The 23,379-nt window shown below is 49.4% G+C and overlaps 1 protein-coding gene across 2 annotated transcripts in view, besides 20 other annotated features; it reads right to left on the bottom strand.

Moving 5' to 3' along the window:
- CDH3 (cadherin 3) overlaps positions 1 to 23,379 on the bottom strand; it is an 88,462-nt gene that overhangs the window by 3,545 nt on the left and 61,538 nt on the right. Inside the window, exons 16-17 of one of the 2 annotated variants that reach the window (XM_011522800.4) lie at positions 7,611 to 7,802; positions 2,109 to 3,074 (exon numbers count right to left, since the gene is read on the bottom strand). In XM_011522800.4, coding sequence (XP_011521102.1) covers positions 7,656 to 7,802 — 147 coding nt within the window. In that variant the 3' untranslated portion in view covers positions 2,109 to 3,074; positions 7,611 to 7,655. Of the gene's footprint in view, positions 1 to 2,108; positions 3,075 to 7,610; positions 7,803 to 23,379 lie in introns of those variants that run through there. The other variant, XM_047433450.1, reaches the window with a different exon arrangement.
- Positions 1,334 to 1,853: an enhancer, noted in NCBI's record as "H3K4me1 hESC enhancer chr16:68762277-68762796 (GRCh37/hg19 assembly coordinates)". NCBI's record gives its function as "activates a minimal SCP1, AML or CMV promoter by ChIP-STARR-seq in naive H9 embryonic stem cells {active_cell/tissue: H9 hESC(naive)}" and the evidence as "EXISTENCE:reporter gene assay evidence [ECO:0000049][PMID:30033119]".
- Positions 1,538 to 1,682: an enhancer, noted in NCBI's record as "145 bp 16:68762520 sequence used in MPRA reporter constructs". NCBI's record gives its function as "activates a minimal TATA-containing promoter with rs12930910 allelic activity by MPRAs in C283T melanocytes {active_cell/tissue: C283T}" and the evidence as "EXISTENCE:reporter gene assay evidence [ECO:0000049][PMID:36423637]".
- Position 1,610: a transcriptional cis regulatory region, noted in NCBI's record as "rs12930910 or 16:68762520 MPRA-significant variant associated with a GWAS melanoma risk locus at 16q22.1". NCBI's record gives its function as "allelic transcriptional activity by MPRAs in C283T melanocytes {active_cell/tissue: C283T}" and the evidence as "EXISTENCE:reporter gene assay evidence [ECO:0000049][PMID:36423637]".
- Positions 6,486 to 6,630: an enhancer, noted in NCBI's record as "145 bp 16:68757572 sequence used in MPRA reporter constructs". NCBI's record gives its function as "activates a minimal TATA-containing promoter with rs7184242 allelic activity by MPRAs in C283T melanocytes {active_cell/tissue: C283T}" and the evidence as "EXISTENCE:reporter gene assay evidence [ECO:0000049][PMID:36423637]".
- Position 6,558: a transcriptional cis regulatory region, noted in NCBI's record as "rs7184242 or 16:68757572 MPRA-significant variant associated with a GWAS melanoma risk locus at 16q22.1". NCBI's record gives its function as "allelic transcriptional activity by MPRAs in C283T melanocytes {active_cell/tissue: C283T}" and the evidence as "EXISTENCE:reporter gene assay evidence [ECO:0000049][PMID:36423637]".
- Positions 9,873 to 10,002: an enhancer, noted in NCBI's record as "active region_11024". NCBI's record gives its function as "activates an Ori minimal core promoter by ATAC-STARR-seq in GM12878 lymphoblastoid cells {active_cell/tissue: GM12878}" and the evidence as "EXISTENCE:reporter gene assay evidence [ECO:0000049][PMID:35858748]".
- Positions 15,002 to 15,146: an enhancer, noted in NCBI's record as "145 bp 16:68749055 sequence used in MPRA reporter constructs". NCBI's record gives its function as "activates a minimal TATA-containing promoter with rs34732502 allelic activity by MPRAs in C283T melanocytes {active_cell/tissue: C283T}" and the evidence as "EXISTENCE:reporter gene assay evidence [ECO:0000049][PMID:36423637]".
- Positions 15,073 to 15,074: a transcriptional cis regulatory region, noted in NCBI's record as "rs34732502 or 16:68749055 MPRA-significant variant associated with a GWAS melanoma risk locus at 16q22.1". NCBI's record gives its function as "allelic transcriptional activity by MPRAs in C283T melanocytes {active_cell/tissue: C283T}" and the evidence as "EXISTENCE:reporter gene assay evidence [ECO:0000049][PMID:36423637]".
- Positions 15,835 to 15,979: an enhancer, noted in NCBI's record as "145 bp 16:68748223 sequence used in MPRA reporter constructs". NCBI's record gives its function as "activates a minimal TATA-containing promoter with rs9936682 allelic activity by MPRAs in C283T melanocytes {active_cell/tissue: C283T}" and the evidence as "EXISTENCE:reporter gene assay evidence [ECO:0000049][PMID:36423637]".
- Position 15,907: a transcriptional cis regulatory region, noted in NCBI's record as "rs9936682 or 16:68748223 MPRA-significant variant associated with a GWAS melanoma risk locus at 16q22.1". NCBI's record gives its function as "allelic transcriptional activity by MPRAs in C283T melanocytes {active_cell/tissue: C283T}" and the evidence as "EXISTENCE:reporter gene assay evidence [ECO:0000049][PMID:36423637]".
- Positions 18,358 to 18,857: an enhancer, noted in NCBI's record as "H3K4me1 hESC enhancer chr16:68745273-68745772 (GRCh37/hg19 assembly coordinates)". NCBI's record gives its function as "activates a minimal SCP1, AML or CMV promoter by ChIP-STARR-seq in primed H9 embryonic stem cells {active_cell/tissue: H9 hESC(primed)}" and the evidence as "EXISTENCE:reporter gene assay evidence [ECO:0000049][PMID:30033119]".
- Positions 18,398 to 18,447: a silencer, noted in NCBI's record as "silent region_7649". NCBI's record gives its function as "represses an Ori minimal core promoter by ATAC-STARR-seq in GM12878 lymphoblastoid cells {active_cell/tissue: GM12878}" and the evidence as "EXISTENCE:reporter gene assay evidence [ECO:0000049][PMID:35858748]".
- Positions 18,478 to 18,527: a silencer, noted in NCBI's record as "silent region_7648". NCBI's record gives its function as "represses an Ori minimal core promoter by ATAC-STARR-seq in GM12878 lymphoblastoid cells {active_cell/tissue: GM12878}" and the evidence as "EXISTENCE:reporter gene assay evidence [ECO:0000049][PMID:35858748]".
- Positions 18,598 to 18,767: a silencer, noted in NCBI's record as "silent region_7647". NCBI's record gives its function as "represses an Ori minimal core promoter by ATAC-STARR-seq in GM12878 lymphoblastoid cells {active_cell/tissue: GM12878}" and the evidence as "EXISTENCE:reporter gene assay evidence [ECO:0000049][PMID:35858748]".
- Positions 18,858 to 19,359: an enhancer, noted in NCBI's record as "H3K4me1 hESC enhancer chr16:68744771-68745272 (GRCh37/hg19 assembly coordinates)". NCBI's record gives its function as "activates a minimal SCP1, AML or CMV promoter by ChIP-STARR-seq in naive H9 embryonic stem cells {active_cell/tissue: H9 hESC(naive)}" and the evidence as "EXISTENCE:reporter gene assay evidence [ECO:0000049][PMID:30033119]".
- Positions 22,289 to 22,433: an enhancer, noted in NCBI's record as "145 bp 16:68741769 sequence used in MPRA reporter constructs". NCBI's record gives its function as "activates a minimal TATA-containing promoter with rs34565494 allelic activity by MPRAs in C283T melanocytes {active_cell/tissue: C283T}" and the evidence as "EXISTENCE:reporter gene assay evidence [ECO:0000049][PMID:36423637]".
- Position 22,361: a transcriptional cis regulatory region, noted in NCBI's record as "rs34565494 or 16:68741769 MPRA-significant variant associated with a GWAS melanoma risk locus at 16q22.1". NCBI's record gives its function as "allelic transcriptional activity by MPRAs in C283T melanocytes {active_cell/tissue: C283T}" and the evidence as "EXISTENCE:reporter gene assay evidence [ECO:0000049][PMID:36423637]".
- Positions 22,507 to 22,801: a silencer, noted in NCBI's record as "tiled region #1210; HepG2 Repressive non-DNase unmatched - State 4:PromP". NCBI's record gives its function as "represses a minimal TATA promoter and a strong SV40 promoter by Sharpr-MPRA in HepG2 cells {active_cell/tissue: HepG2}" and the evidence as "EXISTENCE:reporter gene assay evidence [ECO:0000049][PMID:27701403]".
- Positions 22,507 to 23,195: a biological region, named in NCBI's record as "Sharpr-MPRA regulatory region 1210".
- Positions 22,638 to 23,195: an enhancer, noted in NCBI's record as "H3K27ac-H3K4me1 hESC enhancer chr16:68740935-68741492 (GRCh37/hg19 assembly coordinates)". NCBI's record gives its function as "activates a minimal SCP1, AML or CMV promoter by ChIP-STARR-seq in naive H9 embryonic stem cells {active_cell/tissue: H9 hESC(naive)}" and the evidence as "EXISTENCE:reporter gene assay evidence [ECO:0000049][PMID:30033119]".

The raw sequence follows: 23,379 nt of genomic DNA, 5'->3' as shown, positions 1-23,379 counted from the left end.
GAGTCTCTCTCTGTTGCCCAGGCTGGAGTGCAGTGGTGCAATCTCAGCTCACTGCAACCTCCGCCTCCCAGGTGCAAGCGTTCCTCCTGCCTCAGCCTCCTGAGTAGCTGGGATTACAGGCGCATACCACCAAGCCCAGCTAATTTTTGTATTTTTAGTAGAGACAGGGTTTCACCATCTTGGTCAGGCTGGTCTCGAACTCCTGACCTCATGATCCACCCGCCTCGGCCTCCCAAAGTGATGGGATTACAGGCATGAGCTACTGCACCTGGCAAACAATTATTAATAGTTTGGGTTGGGCGTGATGGCTCACACCTGTAGTCCCAGCACTTTAGGAGGTCGAGGCAGGAGGACTGCTTGAGCTCAGGAGTTCAGACCAGCCTGAGCAGCATAGGGAGACCCCATCTGTACAAAAAATTAAAAAAAAAATAGCCTGGTGTGGTGGCGCACACCTGTGGTCCCAGCTACTAGGGAGGCTGAGGTAAGAGAGTCACTTGAGCCCAGGAGGTCGAGGTTGCAGTGAGCCGAGATCACGCCACTGCACTCCAGCCGGGCAAGAGAGGAGACTCTGTCTCAGACAAATAAAAAAATGTGTTTGAATCAAGATCCAAGCAAGAGCCACATTTTACTTTTGTCTGTTATGCCCCTTAAGACTCTTTTTACCTATAAGCTTCTCCATCCCTTTTTGTTCATCTTTTTTGAGGTATAATTGACTACATATGTTTAAAGTATACAATTTGATGAGTTTTGGTATTTGTATACACTGTGAAACCACAACTATGATAGTGAATGTATCCTTTGTTTGTTTCTATTTTGATGTAATTCCAGACTTACAGACTTCTTTAAAAAACAAAACGAAACAAAACAAAAAACACACAGGGTCATTTGTTCTGTAGGATGTCCGGCATATATATATTTTTCTGAGACGGAGTCTCACTTTTTCGCCCAGGCTGGAATGCAATGGCGCAGTCTCAGCTCACTGCAACCTCCGCCTCCCGGGTTCAAGCAATTCTCCTGCGTCAGCCTCCCCAGTAGCTGGGACTACAGGCCAGCACCACCATGAGCAGCTAATTTTTGTATTTTTAGTAGAGACGGGGTTTCATCATGTTGGCCAGGCTGGTCTCGAACTCCTGACCTCAACTGATCTGCCTGCCTCAGCCTCCCAAAGTGCTGGGATTACAGGTGTGAGCCACTGTGCCCAGCCCTGCATTTTGTTTTTGGTTGAATGCATCTTTGAGGTGTCCTTAAACGCGTTCCTCAATCCCACATGTAACATGAACTACTACTGAGATATACAGGCTTGCCTTGATTCAGATCAGTATTTTAGGCAAAAATATTTTATAAGTGTTGCCGGGCGCTCCCATAGCATTGTATCAGGAAGCAAGAAGCTCTCTTGCTGATTCACTTTCAGGATGCTAAGCTTCTGTAGGTGTCAGCAGATCTCTCCATTATCAAATTCTCCATCAGCCCCTTCACCTTGTGGTTTTAGCACTGTGGATGATGGCTGTTCCCATCCATTAGCTCAAACAACAAACATTCATTAACCACTCCCATGTGCCAAGCATTCTGTTTAACACTAGGAACAAAGAGATAAACAAAATACGGTCCCTGCCTTTAAGAAGCTCATAAGGGGCTGGGCGTGGTGGCTCAAGCCTGTCATCCCATCACTTTGGGAGGCTGAGGCAGGCAGATCACTTGAGGTCAGGAGTTCGAGATCAGCCTGGCCAACTTGGTGAAACCCCATCTCTATTGAAAATACAAGGCCAGGCGCGGTGGCTCACGCCTGTCAATCCCAGCACTTTGGGAGGCCGAGGCGGGCAGATGACGAGGTCAGGAGATCGAGACCATCCTGGCTAACACGGTGAAACCCCTTCTCTACTAAAAATACAAAAAATTAGCTGGGCGTGGTGGCGGGCGCCTGCAGTCCCAGCTGCTCCGGAGGCTGAGGCAGGAGAATGGCAGGAACCCGGGAGGCGGAGCTTGCAGTGAGCCGAGATCGTGCCACTGCGCTCCAGCCTGGGTGACAGAGCAAGACTCCGTCTCAAAAAACAAACAAACAAACAAAAAACCTCATAAGGTACTGTGGGATGGAGACAAGTAAACACTTATCGTTTTATTTATTATTTATTGAAAGCCAATTATGTATCAGGCTTTGTGCTGGATGCCAATAATTGCATTATAATGTATGATAAAAGTGATAGCTACTATTTATTGGAGTGCACTATAGTACGCCTTGTCTCACCAGTCTTCATACAGCCGTTTGCTATAATACATACATACATTGTACAGATTTTGGGGTTTTGTTGTTGTTGTTTTTGGAGATGGAGTTTTGCTCTTTCTCCCAGGCTGGAGTGCAGTGGCGTGATCTCGGCTCATTGCAACCTCTGCCTTCCGATTTCAAGCGATTCTCCTGTCTCAGTCTCCTGAGTAGCTGGGATTACAGGCATGCACTACCACGCCTGGCTAATTTTTTTATTTTTAGTACAGATGGGGTTTCACCATGTTGGCCAGGCTGGTCTAGAACTCCTGACCTCAGGTGATCTACCCACCTTGGCTTCTGAAAGTGCTGGGATTACAGGCATGAGCCACCGCACCGAGCCCTGTTTGTTTTTTATTAGAGATGAGGACTCATTATGTTGCCTAGGCTAGTTGTGAACCCCTGGCCTCAAGTGATCCACTCGTCTCGGCCTCCCAAAGTGCTAGGTCTACAGGCGTGACCATTTTACAGATTTGGAAGCAGAGACTCACAGAGAAGTAAAGGGATTGGCCTGATGTTACACAGTGTATTAGTCAGGGTTCTCCCAAGAACAGAACAAATAGGATATATACAGAGAGAGATGAGAGGGGACTTATTAGGGAAATTGACTCATGGGATTATGGAGGCTGAGAAGTCCTAGGATAAGCCATCTACAAGCTGGAGAACCAGGAAGCTGGTAGCATTGCCCAATCCAAGACTTTCAGTCCCAGGCTGAAGGCCTGAGAACACTGGGGGGCTGCTGGTACAAATCCCAGAGTCAAAAGGCGAGAGACCCTGGAGTTCTGATGTTTAAGGGCAGAAGGCAGGTGTCCCAGCTCTAGAAGAAGAGAGAGAGAGAAAGTGAGTGAATTCACCTTTCCTGCCTGCCTTTTTGTTCTATCCTGGCCCTCAGTAGACTGAATGGTGCCCATCCACGTGGGTGTGGGTGACTTTTCCTCACTCAGTCCACTGATTCAAATAGCAGTCTCTTCAGGAAACGTCCTCCCAGACATACACAGAAATAATGCTTTATGAGCTATCTGGGTATCCCTTAATCCAGTCAAGTTGACACCTAAAAGTCACCATCACACACAATAAAAATGACACAGCTGGGGCGGGCGCGGTGGCTCATGCCTGTAATCCCAGCACTTTGGGAGGCCAAGGCAGGCAGATCACAAGGTCAGGAGATCGAGACCATCCTGGCTAACCTGGTGATACCCCGTCTCTACTAAAAATACCAAAAAATTAGCCAGGCGTGGTGGTGGGCGCCTGTAGTCCCAGCTACTCAGGAGGCTGAGGCAGGAGAATGGCGTGAACCCGGGAGGCGGAGGTTGCAGTGAGCCAAGATCACACCACTGCACTCCAGCCTGGGTGACAGAGCGAGACTCTGTCTCAAAAAAAAAAAAAAAAACAACCAAAAAAATGAAAGAGCTGGAATTTGAACCCTGGGCCACTGCCCTCTGCAGTCTCTTAATCTCTGTGCTATTCCACTAAGATCAGGGTGGGGTTTTGTTTCTGGGTGCCATTTGAACTGAGTGGCAAACCTTGCTTAATTTAGCAAGAAATAGTCTTTTGCGGGGACCTGAAATTCCAGACTCCGGGGCAGCCAAGAGAAGGAAGGCAAGAGGATGGCCTGAGCTCCCTGTTGTCCAGCCCAGCAAGAGCTCCCATGACAGCCACAGGTCAGGGGAGCAGGTGACCAGGGCTGGAACCAGAGGGGCATTTGGTCCTCTGGCCAGCCTATAGAGCAGACACAATCATCCCCATTTCCCAGAAGAGGTGACTGAGGCTTAGAGAAATGAACGACCAGTTTCATGGCAGAGGCAGGGAGGCTGGTGTTCTGGCTTAAGACCATCCTGGCACAGTGGTTCCCAGCATAGACTTCAGTTCCTGACTGCCTGCTTCTGAATTCTGCCCTTCTTTTTTCTTTTTCTTTTCTTTTTTTTGAGACAAGGTCAGGCTGGAGTGCAGTAGTGCAATCTCAGCTCACTGCAACCTCCGTCTGCCTCCTGGGCTCAAGCGATCCTTCCACCTCAGCCTCTTGAGTAGCTGGGACTACAGGCATGTCCCACCATGCCCAGCTAATTTAGGTATTTTTTTGTAGAGACAGTATTTCACCATGTTTCCCTGGCTGGTCTCCAGCTCCTGGGCTCAAGCAATCCACCCACCTCAGCCTCCCAAAGTGCTGGGATTACAGGTGTGAGCCACCATGCTGGCCTGAATCCTACTTTTCTACCTGCTAGTAATAAGCCTTTGAGTCAGAGCCACAGACTCTTTGGACTTCTAATTTCCTTATCTGTACAACTGAGAATAATAATGGAACCTACTTTGTTGAGTGATTTCAAGAATTAGGTGAAGGGCCGGGCGCGGTGGCTCACGCCTGTAATCCCTGCACTTTGGGAGGCCAAGGCGGGTGGATCAGGAGGTCAGGAGATCGAGACCATCCTGGCTAACATGGTGAAACCCCGTCTCTACTAAAAATACAAAAAATTAGCCAGGCGTGGTGGCGGGCGCCTGTAGTCCCAGCTACTCCGGAGACTGAGGCAGGAGAATGGCGTGAACCCTGGAGGCAGAGCTTGCAGTGAGCCGAGATCGGGCCACTGCACTCCAGCCTGGGCGACAGAGTGAGACTCTGTCTCAAAAAAAAAAAGAATTGGGTGAAATAACCTAACTAAACATGGCAGACGGGAGTGCAAATCAACGTGAACTATTATTTCCATATTCCACATTACTCAGGGGACAAGATTTTTCCTGAACCAAGTCCATGGGCAGCAGGCCCCTCCAACTTAAGTGGAGTGAGTTAAGCCCCCTGGAAAGTGGGGCTGCTGTCATGGAGCCCTGTGGCTGACTGGGTGTCCTCCCACTGCTCAGATACCTTTGGACCTGGCATCTCAAGAACAATAGATAAGGTGCTGCAGTTCATAACTGTGGAGGCCCAGGGACCTGTTGCTTCCTGTCCCCCGCTTCCAAGCAAAGAAGGCCCCACCCTCTTCTCAGAGCAAGGGAATCAGGTGCCAGAACTCTGTCTACTTGGGACGGAGAGATAAACCCTTCCCCAACCAACCCTCTGCTGGCTCGGCAGCCAATGAAACCACTCCCTGCCAAGTTCAGCCTAGCCCCACACCAAAGATGTTTGGAGACAAAGGGCTCTCTGATTTTACCTGCTGTCATTAAAATACTTCATTTTCTTAGTGTATGCCCGTTGAATCCTTGATGTGACATCCATATAGATTAATTCCCTTTCAAAAAAAGGGACTTTGTGGCTAACACCATTTATTTATTCATGTATCACATCCCAGGAGGTGGCCAGACAACGTAGTGTGGGGAATTGACAGGTCTCGAGACCATTTTTTTTTTTTTTAAATAATAGGGTCTCGCCTCTGTTGCTCAGGCTGGAATGCAGTGGTGGGATCATAGCTCACTGCAACCTTGAACTCCTGGGCCCAAGTGATTCTCCTGCGTCAGCCTCCCGAGTAGCTGAGACTAACAGGTATGTGCCACCATGCCTGGCTAAGTTTTTAATTTTTTATTTTCTGTACAGTCAGGTGCTCACTATGTTGCCCAGGCTGGTCTTGAACTCCTGGTCTCAAGTGATCCTCCTTCCTTGGCCTCCCAAACTGGTGGGATTACAGGTGTGAGCCAATGTGCCCAGCTGTAGGTCCTTGAATCCTTGATGTAAAGTCTATATAGTCTAAATTCCCTTCAAAAAAGGGACTTTGCAGCTAACATCATTTATTTATTTTTATTTACTTTTTTGAGACAGAGTCTTGCTCTGTCGCCCAGGCTGGAGTGCAGTGGCGCAGTCTTGGCTCACTGCAACCTCCACCTCCTAGGTTCAAGCGATTCTCCTGCCTCAGCCTCCCAAGTAGCTGGGATTACGGTGTGCGCCACCACACCCGGCTAATTTTTTTTTTTTTTTTTTGAGACGGAGTCTCGCTCTGTCGCCCAGGCTGGAGTGCAGTGGCCCGATCTCGGCTCACTGCAAGCTCCGCCTCCCGGGTTCACGCCATTCTCCTGCCTCAGCCTCCCAAGTAGCTGGGACTACAGGCACCCGCCACTATGCCCGGCTAATTTTTTGTATTTTTAGTAGAGACGGGGTTTCACCGTTTTAGCCGGGATGGTCTCGATCTCCTGACCTTGTGATCCACCCACCTCGGCCTCCCAAAGTGCTGGGATTACAGGCGTGAGCCACCGCGCCCGGCCTCACACCCGGCTAATTTTTGTATTTTCAGTAGAGACAGGGTTTTGCTATGTTGGCCAGGCTGGTCTCAAACTCAAGTGATCCACCCACCTTGGCCTCCCAAAGTGCTGAGATTACAGGCGTGAGCCACCGTGTCTGGCCTCATTTATTTACGAAATCCCAGGAGGAGGCCAGAACATAGTGTAAGGAATTGACGAGTCTTATGACTTGAAGCAAAATTTATTTCCTTCTCTAACTCTCAATTTATCTTCTGTAAAATGACTCAGTTAGCTAGAAGGAGGCTTGAGATCTCTTCTGCCTCTAAGAACCATGATATTGAGCTTCTTGAGATTGAAAACTGGCACTGCACAGGATCCCATTTTTTCCTTTTGGGGACCAGGAGTTCTCAAGCAAGGGGTGTTTACGGAATCATGATGCTGTTTATTGCTTTTCAGTATTTAGACTCAACCTCCAGACAAAGTACAGAAGATTTAATTATAGCTATAGAACAAAATGTAAATGTTATGAATAATATATAACTATTAAAAATTGGGAATTGCTTGAGAGGGAAGCCAGGAAGCTTGAGAAGGACATTAAATTCCTCATCTTCTAACAAGTACTTCTCTGGAGAAGGAGAATTGGGCTGAGTGGTGAGTTCATAATTATTCGCTATATTATTATACTTTATAATTTATATATGTGATACATTTATTCTCTTTATATGTCAAATATTATCTCTAAAAGATAAAAAAAAAAAAAAGTAATAGAGGCAGCGGATCACCTGAGGTCAGGATTTCAAAGCCAGCTGGGCCAACGTGGTGAAACCGTGTCTCTACTAAAAATACAAAAATTAGCCGGGCCTGGTGGTGGGTGCCTGTAATCCCAGCTACTCAGGGAGCTGAGGCAGGAGAATCCCTGGAACCTGGGAGGCAGAGATTGCAGTGAGCCGAGATCACGCCATTCCATTCCACTCCAGCCTGAGCAACAAGAGCGAAACCCGTCTCAAAAAATAAATAAATAAATAAATCTGTGTTGAAGGTCCCACTCCCTCCACTGTCCACAAAGATGACCCAACAAACCCGGTGCTACCAACTGCCCCTATTTGTCTGGGATCCTGGGTCTCTGGGGGTGTAAGACTTTCAGTGCTAAAACCATGAAAATCCCAGGTAAACTGGGAGAAGTTTGTTCCCTTACCAGAGTCAGTGAGGACTGATTGGATGGCTTGTCCACCCCACGTGCTCATGTACTCATGTATTTGTGGAAGGGCTGTGTCTTGGTCTTGCCAGGTGTTGTAGGTGGGAAAGGTGGAACTGGCCAGGCTGGATCCAGACTGTAGCCGGTGGCAAGAGCTTCCTGCCAGGGTGGAGACCTGCAGAGCAATAAAACCTGGGCAAAGGACAAGGGTTCCAATGAGGCCTAGAAAATTCCAGAGTCCAGATACAGGACGAGGCATCTATAATTCTCCAGAGTAACTGTCCAACTTTTCAGGCCACATTAACTCACTCACTCACTCGTTCATTCATTCATTCATTCATTCAATAAACACTCACTGGCACCTAGCATGCACAAATGCTTGGCTGGTGACAGGGGCCCCTCCCTATCCTGAAGAAGCTTTTGATCTGATGGAATAAACAGACAAGGGAGCCAGGGATTTACAACCCAAGGATTTACAACCCAGAGCAATAAGCAAGGATAATCCTTTTGTTGTTGTTGATGTTGTTGTTGTTGGTAGTCTTGCTTATCACCCAGGTTGGAGTGCAGTAGTGCCATCTCGGCTCACTGCAACTTCTGCCTCCCAGGTTCAAGCAATTCTCCTGCCTCAGTCTCCTGAGTAGCTGGAGTTACAGGCACCCGCCACACACCCAGCTAACTTTTGTATTTTTAGTAGAGATAGGGTTTCACCATGTTGGCCAGGCTGGTCTCGAACTCCTGACGTCAAGTGATCTGCCCGCCTCAGCCTCCCAAAGTGCTAGAATTACAGGCGTGAGCCACCACGCCTGGCCAACAAGGATGATCTTAACAATTATGTATTATTATTTTGTTTTGAGACGGAGTTTCAGAAATATGATGGGGAGCAAAGTGACATTTAAGCTGAGTTAACCAGTGTTTCTGGCAGAAGTCACCACCTGGGCAAAGGCCCAGAAGGGAGAAGAGCTTAGTCTAGCCAAGAAGGGAGAGGCAGGAGGTTAGACCCAAGAGCAGGGAAGGGGCTGGGCATAGTGGCTCACACCTGTAATCCCTAACTGCTGAGTACCCGCAGTTAAAAGACTGAACTGTGGCCGGGTGCGGTGGCTCATGCCTTTAATCCCAGCACTTTGGGAGGCCAAGGCGGGTTGATCATCTGAGGTTAGGAGTTCGAGACCAGCCTGGCCAATATGGTGAAACCCCGTCTCTACTAAAAATACAAAAATTAGCCAGACCTGGTGGCAGACACCTGTAATCTCAGCAACTCGGGAGGCTGAGGCAGGAGAATTGCTGGAAACTGGGAGGCAGAGGTTGCAGTGAGCCGAGATCGTGCTACTGCACTCCAGCCCAGGCCGACAACAGCGAGACTCCATCTCAAAAAAAAAAAAAAAAAAAAGACTAAACTGCATAAAGGGTAAGGTCCAGGAACACTGAGATGCTGAGAGGATGTCACACAGCTTGTCTCCAGGAATGTCACATGATTTAGTATGATGATTAGGAGCATGGGCCCTGAAATGAGAGGGCTGGATCAAATACTGGGGATACTGGGCTATGTTGACCTTGACAATTTATGAAACCTCTGCGCACCTAGGTTCTTGTCAATTAGTAAAATAGAGGTAGTGCTAGTTCCTACCATCTAGGAGTGGTATAAGGATGAAATGAACTAATACCTGCAAAGTGCTTAATACATCTAAATGCTCAATAAAGGCCTGACATGGTGGCTCATGCCTGTAATCCCAGCACTTTGGGAGGCCGAGGAGGGTGGATCACTTGAGGTCAAGAGTTCGAGACCAGCCTGGCTAACATGGTAAAACCCATCTCTACTAATAATACAAAAATTAGTCGGCGTGGTGGCAGGCTCCTGTAATCCCAGCTACTCGGGCTTGGGAGGCTGAGGCAGGAGAATCGCTTGAGCCTGGGAGGCAGATGTTGCAGTGAACTGAGATCGTGCCACTGCATTCCGGCCTGGGCAACAGAGCGAGACTCCATCTCAAAAAAAAAAAAAAAGACTTAATAAAGAACATTTAAAACACTATTGTCTTGCCCTACCCTTCTGATGTGAAAAAACACATGTATGGGTAGCCTGGCAGTGACTCAGTGCTCAATAGATGTCTGTGCCTTGTTAGAGATGTTTAGAGCTCTCTCTTCCCTTTCTGGGCTAAGAAACTATGTTTCTGGGAGGCAAAGGTACTTGCCCAAGGTCACCAGCAAGTCCCAGACACAGCTGTCAGGCTGGGCTTGACAAACTTTAGATTTTAAGAGGTTCTGCAAAGATCTGATTCAGGGTATGCATGGGGAATTCCCTTGCTACCCAGAATTTCACAGATCTCACGCTCTCTTTCTTTCTCTTTTTTTTTTTTAGCCTCCCCTCATGTTAAAAAAAATTAGTTTGCATATGGTAAAATTCACACTTTTTGGGATTCAGTTCTGTGAGGTTTTTTGTTTTGGTTTGGTTTGGAGTTTTTTCTTGAGACAGGGTTTCACTCTGGCACCCAAGCTGGTATGCAGTGGTGTGATCATGGCTTACTGCAGCCTCGACCTCCTGGGCTCAAGAGATCCTCCCACCTCAGCCTCCCAAGTAGCTGGGACCACAGGTGGGCATGCCACCATGCCTGGCTAATTTTGTTCATTTTTTGTAGAGAAGAGGTTTCACTATGTTGCCCAGGCTGGTCTTGAACTCCTAGGCTCAAGGGATCCTCCCTCCTCAGCCTCCCAAAGTGTTGGGATTACATGCATGAGCCACTGCATCTGGCCAAGTTCTGTGAGTTTTGACAGACACAAGCAGTTGTATATCCACCACTATAATCAAGATGTAGTACAGTTCCATCTCTGGGTGTGGTGGCTCACGCCTGCAATCCCAGCACTTTGGGAGGCCAAGATGGGCGGATCACGAGGTCAGGAGTTTGAGATCAGCCTGGCCAATATGGTGAAACCCCGTCTCTAATAAAAATACAAAAATTAGCTGGTGTGTGCCTGAGGTCCCAGCTACTTGGGAGGCTGAGGCAGGAGAATTTTGCTTGAACCCGGGAGGCAGAGGTTGCAGTGAGCCAAGATGGCGCCACTGCACTCCAGCCTGGGTGACAGAGCGAGACTCCCTCTCAAAAAAAAAAAAAAAAAAAAAAAGAACAGTTCCATCATGCCAAAAAATCCCCCTGTGCCCTTGTAGATGACCACACCCCTCATTCCTGGTCCCCGACAACCACTGGGCCCTTTTCTGTCCCCAGAGTTTTGCTTTTTCTAGATTGTCATATAAATGGAATCATACAGTATGTGGCCTGTTGTATATGTTTCTTTCACTTAGCAAAATGCTTTTGAGCATATTGTTGTGTATGTCTGTAGTTCATAGTTCGTTTTTTATCTTTTTTTTTTTTCTTTTTTTTTGAGACGGAGTCTCACTCTTTTTTGCCCAGGCTGGAGTGCAATGGCACAATCTCCACTCACTGCAACCTCCACCTCCTGGGTTCAAGCAATTCTCCCTGTCTCAGCCTCCCAAGTAGCTGGGATTACAGGCGTGCACCACCACGCCCAGCTAATTTTGTATTTTTAGTAGAGACGGGGTTTCACCATGTTGGCTAGGCTGGTCTTGAACTGCTGACCTCAGGTGATCCACCTGCCTTGGCCTCCCAAAGTGCTGGGATTACAGGCGTGAGGGAGCCACCGCGCCCGGCCCCGTTTTTTTTCTTAATAGTCTTCCATTATTGTATAGCTACACCACAATTAATTGTTGTATCCATTTACCAGTTAATGAGCACTTGGGCTATTTCCTCTTTGGGGCTATTATAAATAAAGCTTCTAGGAACATGTATGCGTCTTTGTGTGGACATATGTTTTCATTCTTCTTGGGTAAATACCTAGGAGCAGAGTTACTAAATCATATGGTTAGCATATGTTTATGCTTTCTAAGAGATTGCCAAACTGTTTTCCTTTTTTATTTTTATTTTTTTGAGACAGAGTCTCATTCTGTTGCCCAGGATGGAGTGCAGTGGAGCAATCTCGGCTCACTGCAACCTCCACCTCCCGGGTTCAAGCGATTTTGTTGTCTCAGCCTCCCGAGTAGCTGGGGTTACAGGCATGCGCCACCACACCTGGCTAATTTTTTTGTATTTTTAGTAGAGATGGGTTTTTGACATCTTGGCCAGGCTGGTTTTGAACTCCTGACCTCAGATGATCCACCCGCCTCGGCCTCCCAAAGTGCTGGGATTATAGGCATGAGCCACCACACCCAGCCAGCCAAACTGTTTTTCAAAGTGGCTGTCTTAGTCTGTTTTACGTTGCTATAACAGAATTCCTGACACTGGGTAATTTAACACACAAAAAAAGTTTAGCCAGTTCGGTGGCTCACACCTGTAATCCCAGCACTTTGGGAGGCTGAGGTGGGAGGATCACTTGAGCTCAGAAGTTTGAGATCAGCCTGGGCAACATGGCAAAATCTATCTCTAGAAAAAATACAAAAACTAGCCAGAGTGGCACGTGCCTGTAGTCCTAGCTACCCAGGAGGCTGAGGTAGGAGGATCACTTGAACCTGGGGGCAGAGATTGCAGTGAGCCATGATTGTGCCACTGCACTCCAGTCTGGGCAACTCCAGCCTGGGCAACTCCAGCCTGGGCAACAGAATGAGACTCTGTCTCAAAAAGAAAAAAAGAAAAGAAAAGGAAAAAGAAAAAGTTTATTTAGCTCATGATTCTGGAGTCTGGGAAGTCCAAGACTGGGCAGCTCATATAGTGAAGGCCTGGTGCTGCTTTAACTCATGGGGAAAAGTGGAGGTGGAAGCAGGCACAATAACCCAGTCTCTGAGAAAGATATAAATCTATCTTAATGACCTAATCACATCTTTCTTTTTTTTTTTTTTCTTTAGAGGATGTCTCGCTCTTATCCCCCAGGCTGGAGTGCAATGGCGCCATCTCAACTCACTGCAACGTCTAACTCCCAGGTTCAAGCGATTCTCCTGCCTCAGCCTCCCGAGTAGCTGGGATTACAGGTGCCTGCCACCACGCCCGGCTAATTTTTGTACTTTTAGTAGAGACGGGGTTTCACCATGTTGGCCAGGCTGGTCTCGAACTCCTGACCTCAAGTGATCTGCCCGCCTCGGCCTCCCAAAGCGCTGGAATTACAAGCGTGAGCCACCGCGCTCGGCCTGACCTAATCACAACTTTAAGGCACTGCTTCCTAACACTGTTACACTGACAACTAAATTTCAACATGAGTTTGGTTGGGGACAAACACATCTAGGCCACAGCTGTGGCCATACCATTTTATAATGCCGTCAGCAATGCATGAGACTTCTAGTTGCTCCACATCCTTGTTAGCCTTTGGTATGTTGCCAGTCTTTTCAATTTTAGCCATTCTAATAGGTAGGTAGTGGTATCTTATTGTCGTTTTAATTTATCTAATCATGAATATTGAGCACTGTATATTTTCCTTTGAAAAATTATACAAGTAATAAAGATCTGCAATAGAAAAAAATTTTAAATGCAGATAAGCAAAAATAAGAAAAATACAAATCATCTGTCACTCTAGAGATAATCACAATTGACATTTTGAGCTATATCCAACCTTTGTCTCTTCAGACAAAAACATATAATTGTATTTTATTGGCCAGGCCTGTTGGCTTATGCCTATAATCCCAGCACTTTGGGAGGCCAAAGTGGGAGGATCACTTGAGCTCAGGAATTTGAGAGTAGCCTGGACAACATAGTGAGACCCTGTCTCTACTTAAAAAAAAAAAAAAAAGAAAAAAATCTGGGCATGGTGGCTTGTGCCTGTAGTCCCAGTTACTTGGGAGGCTGAGGCAGGAGGATCACTTGAGCCCGGGAGGTTGAGGCTGCAGTGAGCTATGGTCACGCCAAGGCACTCCAGCCTGACAGACAGAGTGAGATCCTGTCTCCAACAAAACAAAGAAACCAAAACAGTAAGTCTTACTGTACCATCCCGTGCTACCCTCCTTCCCTCCCCAGAGGCAACTACTGTTATCAGTTTTTTTCTTTTCTTTTTTTTTTTTTTTTTTTGAGCCGGAGTCTCATTCTGTCACCCAGGCTGGAGTGCAGTGGCATGGTCATAGCTCATTGTAACCTCAAACTCCTGGGCTCAAGTAAATTTCCCACCTCAGCCTCTGGAGTATCTGGGACTACAGGCAAGAACCACCACACATGGCTGATTTTTAATCTTTTGTAGAGATGAGGGTCTCGATATGTTGCCCAGCCTGGTCTCGAGCTCCTGGGCTCAAGCAATCTTCCCACTTTGGCTTCCCAAAGTACTGGGATTACAGGAGTGAGCCACTGTGCCTGGCTGCCTCAATAGCACTTTAATGTCAGTATGATTTTCCACGATTTGAATGCCTACAATTTATTGAATCAATTCCCTTTTTGAAGAACCTGGGTTTTTTCCAGTGCTTAGTCTTTTTTTTTTTTTTCTCTCACTGCAACCTCCGCCTCCCGGGTTCAAGTGATTCTCCTGCCTCAGCCTCCCAAGTAGCTGGGATTACAGACATGCACCACCACACCCAGCCAATTTTGTATTTTTAGTAGAGATGGGGTTTCACCATGTTGGTCAAGCAGGTCTCGAATTCCTGATTTCAGGTGATCCACCCGCCTCAGCCTCCCAAAGTGTTGGGATTACAGGCATGAGCCACAGTGCCTGGCCAATGCTTAGTCTTACAAGCAATGTTGCGAGGAAATCCTTAATCTGTACACCTGTGAGAAATTGTATGGGCAGGTCTTTAAGATGAACTTCTCCAAGTGGAGTTACTGGGTCAAAGGTCATGTGCTTGTTTCAGGTTTTTGAACCATATGTTGTGCCCACCAGCAAGGAGAGGGGTGGTCCAGGGATCTGGCAGCAGGCCTGGTACTGTGAGGTCTTTTGTTTCTTACGCTACTCCAGAGGCTATTCATCAGCAAAGCAATGTTAACCATTCCCAGGACCTCCCTGTGGGGTGGCAGGAAGTGGGGCGGCTTCTCAGGGCAAAGAACAACATGTCTTTATTAAAATGCTGTGCACCAAGAACGCTTTATGAGTACAGACCTTGGCCTTGCTATTGGGCAACTCCCTGCAGGCTGGAGTGGGGCTATGTCTCTGGGAGAAGATGAGCAGGACTCCAGGGTGTGCCCGGGCTACTTGAACATCGCCCCAGTTCCTCTCACTCAGTTATGCAATTAATACTACTGTGGAGTGGGCAAGAGCTGGATTCAAATCCTTTCTTTTTTTTTTGAGAGTCGTGCTCTGTCGCCCAGGCTGGAGTGCAGTGACACCATCTTGGCTCACTGCAACCTCCGTCTCCCAGGTTCAAGTAATTCTCCTGCCTCAGCCTCCCGAGTAGCTGGGACTACAGGGCTGCACCACTATGCCTGGCTAATTTTTTGTATTTTTAGTAGAGATGGGGTTTTGCTATGTTGGCACGGCTGGTCTCGAACTCCTGGCTTCGAGTGATCTGCTCACCTCAGCCTTCCAAAGAGTTGGGATTACAGGCGTGAGTCATGGCGCCCGGCCTCAAATTCCCTTTCTGCTACTTCCTGGGTGTGTGGCATTGGGCAAGTTTAGAACTTCTCTGACTTTGGTTTGCCCCTCCGTAAAATGGAGCTAATAGTACCTCTCTTATGAGGTTGTCCTGATACTTTTTATTTTTTGAGACAGGGTCTTGTTCTATCGCCCAGGCTAGAGTGCAGTGGCCCAATCATAGCTCACTGCCAGCCTCAAACTCCTGGGATCAAGTGATCCTGCCTCAGCCTCCCAAGTGGCTGGGACTACAGACACGGGCCACCATGCCTGGCTAATTTTTAAATTTTTGTAATGATGAAGTCTTGCTATGTTGACCCAGGCTAGTCCTGGCTTCAAGCAATCCTCCTGCCTCCGCTTCCCAAAGCGCTGGGATTACAGACAAACCACTGAACCCGGCCTTGTCTTGATACTTAAATGAGGTAGTACACATAAAGTGCTCGGAATACATTTGGTAGCTGAAAGTGCTCTACAGCTATTACCTATCACCAGGGACCTTCGGTGGGCGAGATCACAGTCCCTCAGACTGGTTGGGGAAATGGACAGGTAAAGAGACAATTACAATTCTGTGTGCTGGGTGTATTCATACAGATGCTAAGAAAACTCTAGGGGAGGAATACTAAATCCAGAAGGCTTCCTGGGGAAAAAAATGACATTTTGGCAGGAACTAAGCTGCTTGTAGGCTAAGGCAGAGGCAAAGTCGTTGAGAGACTAGAGACCAGCCATTAACTCCCTTTGCTGGGAATGTGGTGATGGAATTCACAGAAGGTTTTCAGTCCTGGATTTCAATTCCGATTTCTCAGCACCTGCCTGGGTCTCAGGTCCTGTGCTTGGTGCTGGGGTGAGGGTAGAGGCTGAACATAATTAGGCAAAGGTGCTCAGTGAGCTCAAGATCTAACTGGGGGGCTGGGTGCGGTGGCTCACGCCTATAATCCCACCACTTTGGGAGGCCAGGGTGGGCAGATCACCTGACGTCAGGAGTTCGAGACCAGCCTGGCCAACATAATGAAACCCCGTCTCTACTAAAAATATAAAAATTAGCTGGGCATGGTAGCGTGTACCTGTAATCCCAGCTACTTGGGAGGCTGAGGCAGGAGGATTGCTTGAACCCAGGGGGCGGAGGTTGCAGTGAGCTGAGATCGAGCCACCGCACTCCAGCCTGGGTGACAGAGCGAAACTCTGTCTCCAAAATAATAATAATAATAATAATAATAATAAATAGAATAAAAATTGATCAGATTTGGGCAGGGATGGGGTGAGAAGAAAAGGCACACCAGGTAGGGGAAACAGCACAAGCAAAGGTAAAGCAGCAGGAAGGCCTATATTCCAGGAAGGGTGCATTGCCCAGTGTGGCTGTGTGGTCTGTACCTGGGGAGCGGGACAGTGGGCAGGAGCCAGGGCTATAAGGTCAACCTAGGCTGGGATTTGAAGGGCGTCCAATGACATGCTGCTTGGCCCTTGTCCAGTAGGTCATGGGAACAGAACGGAAGTGTTTAAGCAGAGAAGGGATGTGATGGGATCTGCGTTCCGGAAAGGTCACTCTGGCATAGCTGGAGGAGGAGTCCTTGGGAAGCAGGGAGCACAGCTGGGAGGCTCCTGCAATCATCTCAACAAGAAATCTGGGGGTTTGGCCTAGGTCAGGGGAGGTGGGCACCGAGAGGAGGGGTGGAGGGTTTGTAAGCAGACTCTGAAACACTTGAAATCAACACCTTGACACTATTCCCTGGCAGCTCCAGGGTCGGGATGTCTAAAATCCCTGGAAAAATAAACTTGCTCCCGCCTCAGCCAGCAGGAAGAAGAGCAACCCGATATGCTTGTTGATTAGGATTAGGGAACTTTTTCCCCCTTTATTGAGGGTCAACTGAATTATTAGTGGGGCAAAAGAGACAGGGGGAGACATATAAAAGTGAAGCGACTTAATTTTATTGTTTTTCCTTGACGGAAACAATGTATGAGATAGATCAACATTTAAAATGTTTTTCAAGGGTCATAAAGAGTAGTCAACCAAAAACAATCTTGACTTCATTTCCATAGAGACACAGAGAGTGGGGAGAGGAGGGACAGAAGGGCGGGGAGATCACAGGAGGAGGGGAGACAGATCAGAAAGGGAGGATGCTGCACTGGCTGCGAGGGGGCTGCTTAAGAACCTTGGAATTGACCAGGCACGGTAGCTCATGCCTTTAATCCCAGCACTTTGGGAGGCTGAGGCGGGTGGATCACCTGAGGTCAGGAGTTCGAGACCAGCCTGGCCAACATGGTGAAACCCCAACTCTACTAAAAATACAAAAATTAGCTGGGCATGGTGGCACAGGCCTGTAATCCCAGCTACTTGGGAGGCTGAGGCAGGAGAATTGCTTGAACCCGGGAGGCGGAGGTTGCAGTGAGCCAAGATCGAGCCACTGCACTCCAGCCTGGGTGACAGAGGGAGTCGCCATCTCAAAAAAAAAAAGGAACCTGGGAATTGAGAGGTCCTGAGTTCAAATTTCAGCCAAGTTCTCCCACCGTTCTCCCATATCTGTCAAATGGGGATTATAACATCTTCACCATCTGCACAATGTTATGGTATTGGATTTTCATCTTAGAAAGATCAGATCACTCTGGCCACCTGATTGGAGCCAGATAAGAGAAAATGTACCCATAGACTACCCGCTCTTAGAATGCTTTTAAGACAAGGTTATTATAATTATTATGACCATTATTATTATTGTTGCTATTATCGTAGCTTTATTATTATTTTCTTTTGAAATTCTGCTTGGCCACTGTTTACTCCCAGCTCCAGCTGCTCTTGTTGAAACCTCTCTGGGCCGGGTGTGATGGCTCACGCCTGTAATCCCAGGATTTAGGAGGTCAAGGTGGGAGGATTGCTTGAGCCCAGGAGTTGGAAACCAGCCTGGATAACATGGAGAAACCCCATCTCTATAAAAAGTACAAAAATTAGCCAGGCATAGTCACATGCACCTGTAGTGCCAGCTACTCGGGAGGCCGAATGGGAGGATTGCTCGAGCCTGGGGGGTTGAGGCTGCAGTGAGCTGGGATTGTGCCACTGCACGTCAGCCTGGGTGACATCGCGAGAGTCTGTCTCAAAAAAAAAAAAAAAAAAGAAAACAAAAAAACCCAAGAAACAAACAAAACACAAGGAACATCTCTGGACTCCTAGCTTCCTAGGATCATGCAGGGTGGAGGGTGCACTCTCAAAACTTCCATCTTAGGGCTGTCCTGGGAGCACTGGCTGCTCCTCCATCCCTGGGCTGCACCCAGAGTAGACAGGGCTGCCTTGTTCCTCTTATCCTCCCACTCCACTGTCCGATACTGAAAGGTGACACAAGCAGGGTTCCTCTGCTCCTCTCTGTGAGTCAGTGCCCATGCCCTCGCCCTCGTGCCCCCTACTCAGGCCTCACCCCTCAGCTTTTACTTCTCTTCCTGGGAAACCACCCCAGTGGGGAGGCAAAGAAGATGAAATAAAGGATGTAAGTTCCCACGGGACCACCACTTCCCCTTTCCCTTCCTCTCCAGCTGCTGGCCACTTCCCCGTCCCCTCTCCAGTGGGAAGCAGAACAGAGGCTGTGGGAAACCGGCACCATACCGTCCCTGGCATGGGCGCAGCCAGCCCTGCGTGCAGCCAGCCCTGTGTGCAGTTCCTCACCTGTGTAACCTTGGGTAGCCCTGCTGCACCTGAACTTCCTCACTCACAGGTCCCCCAGCCGCCTCCAAGTGTTCAAAATGCCCAGAACTCTGCACTGCCCTCCTCACACCTGCTCTTTCTCTTTCTTTCTTCTTTCCTTTTCTTTCTTTTTCTTTCTTTTTTTCTCTTTCTCCCTCTCTCTCTCTCTGCTGGAGTTTCACTTTTGTTGCCCAGGCTGGAGTGCAATGCCGCAACCCAGCTCACGGCAACCTCCGCCTTCTGGGTTCAAGCGATTCTCCTGCCTCAGCCTCCCGAGTAGCTGGGATTACAGGCATGCGTCACCATGCCCGGCTAGTTTTGTATTTTTAGTAGGGACAGGGTTTCTCCATGTTGGTCAGGCTGGTCTCAAACTCCCGACCTCAGTGGATCCGTCCACCTTGGCCTCCCAAAGTGCTGGGATTACAGGCATGAGCCACCTCGCCTTCTCTCCTCCCCTCCCCTCCCCTCCCCTCCCCTTTCCTCCCGTCCCCTCCCCCCTCCCCCCTCCTTCCCCTCCCCTCCCCTCTCCTCCCCTCCCCTCCCTTCTCTCCTTCCCTCTCTCCTTTCTTCCTTTCTTCTTTTCTTCTTTCTCTCTCTCTCTCCCTTTTTCTCTTTCTCTCCTTTTTTCTTCTGAGACAGAATCTCGCTCTGTCGCCCAGGCTGGAGTGCAGTCACTCAATCTCGGCTCACTGCAACCTCTGCCTCCTGGGTTCAAACGATTACTCCTGCCCCGGCCTCCTGAGTAGCTGGAATTACAGGCGCCCGCCACCACACTCGGCTAATTTTTGTATTTTTAGTAGAGACGGGGTTTTGCCATGTTGGCCAGGCTGGTCTCAAGCGATCCGCCTGCCTCGGCCTTCCAAAGTGCTGGGATTACAGGCGTGAGCCACCGCGCCCAGCCATAGTTTTTCAATCTAAGCTCTATTGACTTTTCAGAGGGAGGATCATGTGCTGTGGGGGCTGTCCTGTGCATTGTAGGGGGTTTAGCAACATCTCTGGCCTCTACTCATTAGATGCCAGTAGCACCCCCACTCCAGTGGTAACAACCACAAATGACTCCAGACATTGCCAAATATCCCCTGAGATGGCATAACTACCCCTGGTTGAGAACCACTCGGTTAGGGTGACCAGCTGGGATGGCGAGGCATCCTCAGACTAGCAAATGGGAAGCCAGGGCAGCCCTTAGTCCTAACAGGGCAAGTGCAGAAACTGCCTTTCAGACCCCAGGGAGTGTTGGAGCCATGGAAGAGGGTCCACATGACAGGAGCTGTGGCCATAGAGGGTGCAGAGCGCAGCCAGTGCCAAACCCAGCCCGGCAGGGAGGGAGCAGGCGGAGGGATACTGCCACTTCCCCTCCTTCCCGCCCCATCTCCTGTGGGTTCCTTCCCCCAATGTAACCAACCTAATCCAGAACACAGGGCAGCTAGGGCTGCCTCCTGGTTGCAGAGCAGCGGGAAGAAGGGAAGAGAGTGGATCTGGGGGAAACGGGGAATTAACCAGCGCAGAGGCCATTGTGGCCATCCCAGTTGGGGTGCTGGTGGCTGGGACAAAGGTGGTGGTGGAGAATGGACAGAAGTGGTTGAATTCCAGGATATCTGGGAGGACTCCATGGATGATCAGCATGGGCAGTCAATAAAAGGAAGGAGTTGAGGACAAGGTGTTTAGGTTTCTGGTTTGGGCAGCTGGGCTGATGATGGTGCCGTCTTTAGAAATGAAGGAGACAGAAAAAGGAGGCCAGGCGCGGTGGCTCACGCCTGTAATCCCAGCACTTTGGAAGGCCGAGGTGAGTGGGTCGCTTGAAACCAGCCTAGCCAATATGGCGAAACCTTGTCTCCACTAAAAATACAAAAATTAGCCGGGCGTGGTGGAGGGCGCCTACAATCCCAGCACCTTGGGAGGCTTAGGTAGTAGAATCGCTTGAACCTGGGAGGCAGAGGTTGCAGTAAGCCGAGATTGTGCCACTGTACTCCAGCCTGGGTGACGGAGGGAGACCCTGCAACCCTGCTCACCCCACTGTAGACTGCACCTCCATGAACCCTTCTCCGGTCACCTTTTGAGCTTGCCTCTCTTGCTTGCCAGCACTCTAATTGACAAGAGTGCTTCTGCGCCGGGTGCAGGGGCTCGTGCCTGTAATCCCAACACTTTGGGAGGCCCAGGAGGGAGGATGGCTTGAAGCCAGATCGAGACCAGCCTGGGCAACACAGTGAGACCCCTTCCTTACCAAAAACAAAAAATCAGCTGGGGGTGGTGGTACACACCTGTAGTCCCAGCTATTCAGCAGGCTGAGGTGGGAGGATTGCTTGAATCCAGGAGGTCAAGGCTGCAGTGAACTGTGATTATACCACTGCACTCAGCCTAGTAGATGGAGTGAGACCTTGTCCCAGAAAAACAACAAATAGGCTGGGTGCAGTGGCTCACACCTGTACTCCCAGCACTTTGGGAGGCTGAGGTGGGCAGATCACCTGAGTTCAGGAGTTTGAGACCAGTCTGGTCAACATAGTGAAACCCAGTACCTAATTAAAAAATACAAAAATCTGCCAGCATGGTAGCTCACACCTGTAATCCCAGCACTTTGGGAGGCCGAGGTGGGTGGATCACCTGAGGTCAGGAGATTGAGATCAGCCTAACCAACATGGTAAAACCCCGTCTCTACTAAAATACAAAAATTAGCCAGGTGTGGTGGCAGGTGCCTGTAATCCCAGCTACTCAGGAGGCTGAGGCAGGAGAATCGCCTGAACCCGGGAGGTGGAGGTTTCAGTGAGCTGAGATCATGCCGCTGTACTCCAGCCTGGGCGACAGAGCGAGACTCGGTCTCAAAAAAAAGAAAAAAAAAAAGAAAAAGAAAGAAAGAAAAGAAAAGAAAGAAAGACAGAAAAGATAAAGCATTGGGGGGTGCAGGGCTGCAATTCTAAGGAGGATGCAGTCCCCTTCAGGGCTGGCATCTCTGACAGGCTGACATGTGGGTGATGCCTGAAGGACGTGAGGGAGCCGAGAGAAATCTAGGGGAATGGCATGCCAGGCAGAGGGCACAGCAAGTGCAGAGGCTCTGAGGAAACGTGGTTTGATTTGGAGTGAAACTTCAGCGTTTTACCTGGCACATGGTAACTGCTTAATTTGTTCAAGTCCTACTAATTATCTTTTTTTTTTTTTTGAGATGGAATTTTGCTCGTCACCCAGGCTGGACTGCAGTGGTGGGATCTCGACTTGCTGCAACCTCCACCTCCCAGGTTCAAGGATTCTCCTGCTTCAGCCTCCGGAGTAGCTAGGGTTACAGGCGCCCTCTACCATGCCCCACTATCTTTTGTATTTTTAGTAGACATGGGTTTTCACCTTGTTGGCCAGGCTGGTTTTGAACTCCTGGCCTCAAGTGACCGGCCCGCCTCGGCCTCCCAAACTGCTGAGATTACAGTCTTGAGTCACTGCGCCCAGTCTATCATTCTTGTAATTAGTGGGCATCGTCTTCCTGGAGTGCCTGGGTCGTCAGGTTCCTGGAGGACACACAGAGGTCTCAGCGCCCTGCCCTGTCAGCTGTGGGCTGGCCGTGGTTTACCGGATGGACAACAGTGGGGACAGAAGTTGGAACGGAGCCCAGGCATTCCTGACCCGCCCCGCCCCTCTCAGATTCCTCCCCGGCCCGCCACACCCCTGCCGCTTGCTGGGCAGTGGGTACAGGGAATGCAGGGGTGGCTTCCCACCCCACCTCTAACTTGGAGAGGGCCTAATACCAAGCGAGGACAAGGCTGGCAGTGACCACCTGGCGATCCCCAACTGCACTGCAGGCTCAGCGCTAAACACTGAGTGCTTTTCCACCATCGCCTCCTAGGGGTCTCCTTTCAGCCCACTGAGAGGCCAGGGTGGTGAGTCACTCCCACATCTGCAGCCTTTAGGGGCTGCTGTCTTAGCCACCGCCCTACCAGACTACAGGGCGCTCTCAGACAGGCTCCCCGGTTCCCCGAGAGAGGAATCTCCTAGCTCCCGCCTGCCAGCTCTGCAGCTGCCCACAGGCCCCGACAGGCCCTGCCGCATCCTCAGGGACTGAGGATACAGCAGAGGAGGAACCAGGTTCTGCCAGCCCCGGGATGGAGCTGAGTCAGGCCTTTTTCAGGGCTCCTGGGACTGGGCCTTGCCCTGAACTCAGCCTCCAGCCCAGGCGTGAAGGAGGACACCCAGGACTGGGCGCCTTGGCCCCCCGCTCCTTACCTGTCCAACCTCATCTCTGCACACACTCTCGACCCATCTCAACCCGTCCCTCTGCTCCAGCCACACTGGCCTCCCTGCTAAACCCTGCTGAAACCTGCTAAACCCTTAGCCCTTGCCATTCCTTTTATGTAGACAGGACACTGCATACTTGCTCCCTGATAGCCTCCAGTCTTTGTCCAAATGCCACCTTCCCAGCAGTGCCTTCCCTGGCTCCTAGAACTGAGCCCTACCCCCAGGCCCTTCCTCCCTAGGCCCCATCCCAGCTCCATTTTCCTCCATGCTTCACTTTTACTAGACCACGTATTTTACTGATTTGTCTTGTTTATGGACTGTTTCTCATTGAAAACTCCCTTAGACTGGGCAGCAAGGGCCTCTACCCTGCCCTTCTGCCCCTCCTCATAGAGCTAAGGAAATGTGACTACTGGCCGG

This window comes from Homo sapiens, chromosome 16 (assembly GCF_000001405.40).
Source record: "Homo sapiens chromosome 16, GRCh38.p14 Primary Assembly".
Taxonomy (NCBI): domain Eukaryota; kingdom Metazoa; phylum Chordata; class Mammalia; order Primates; family Hominidae; genus Homo; species Homo sapiens.
This window is presented reverse-complemented; position numbering and strand designations above follow the sequence as displayed.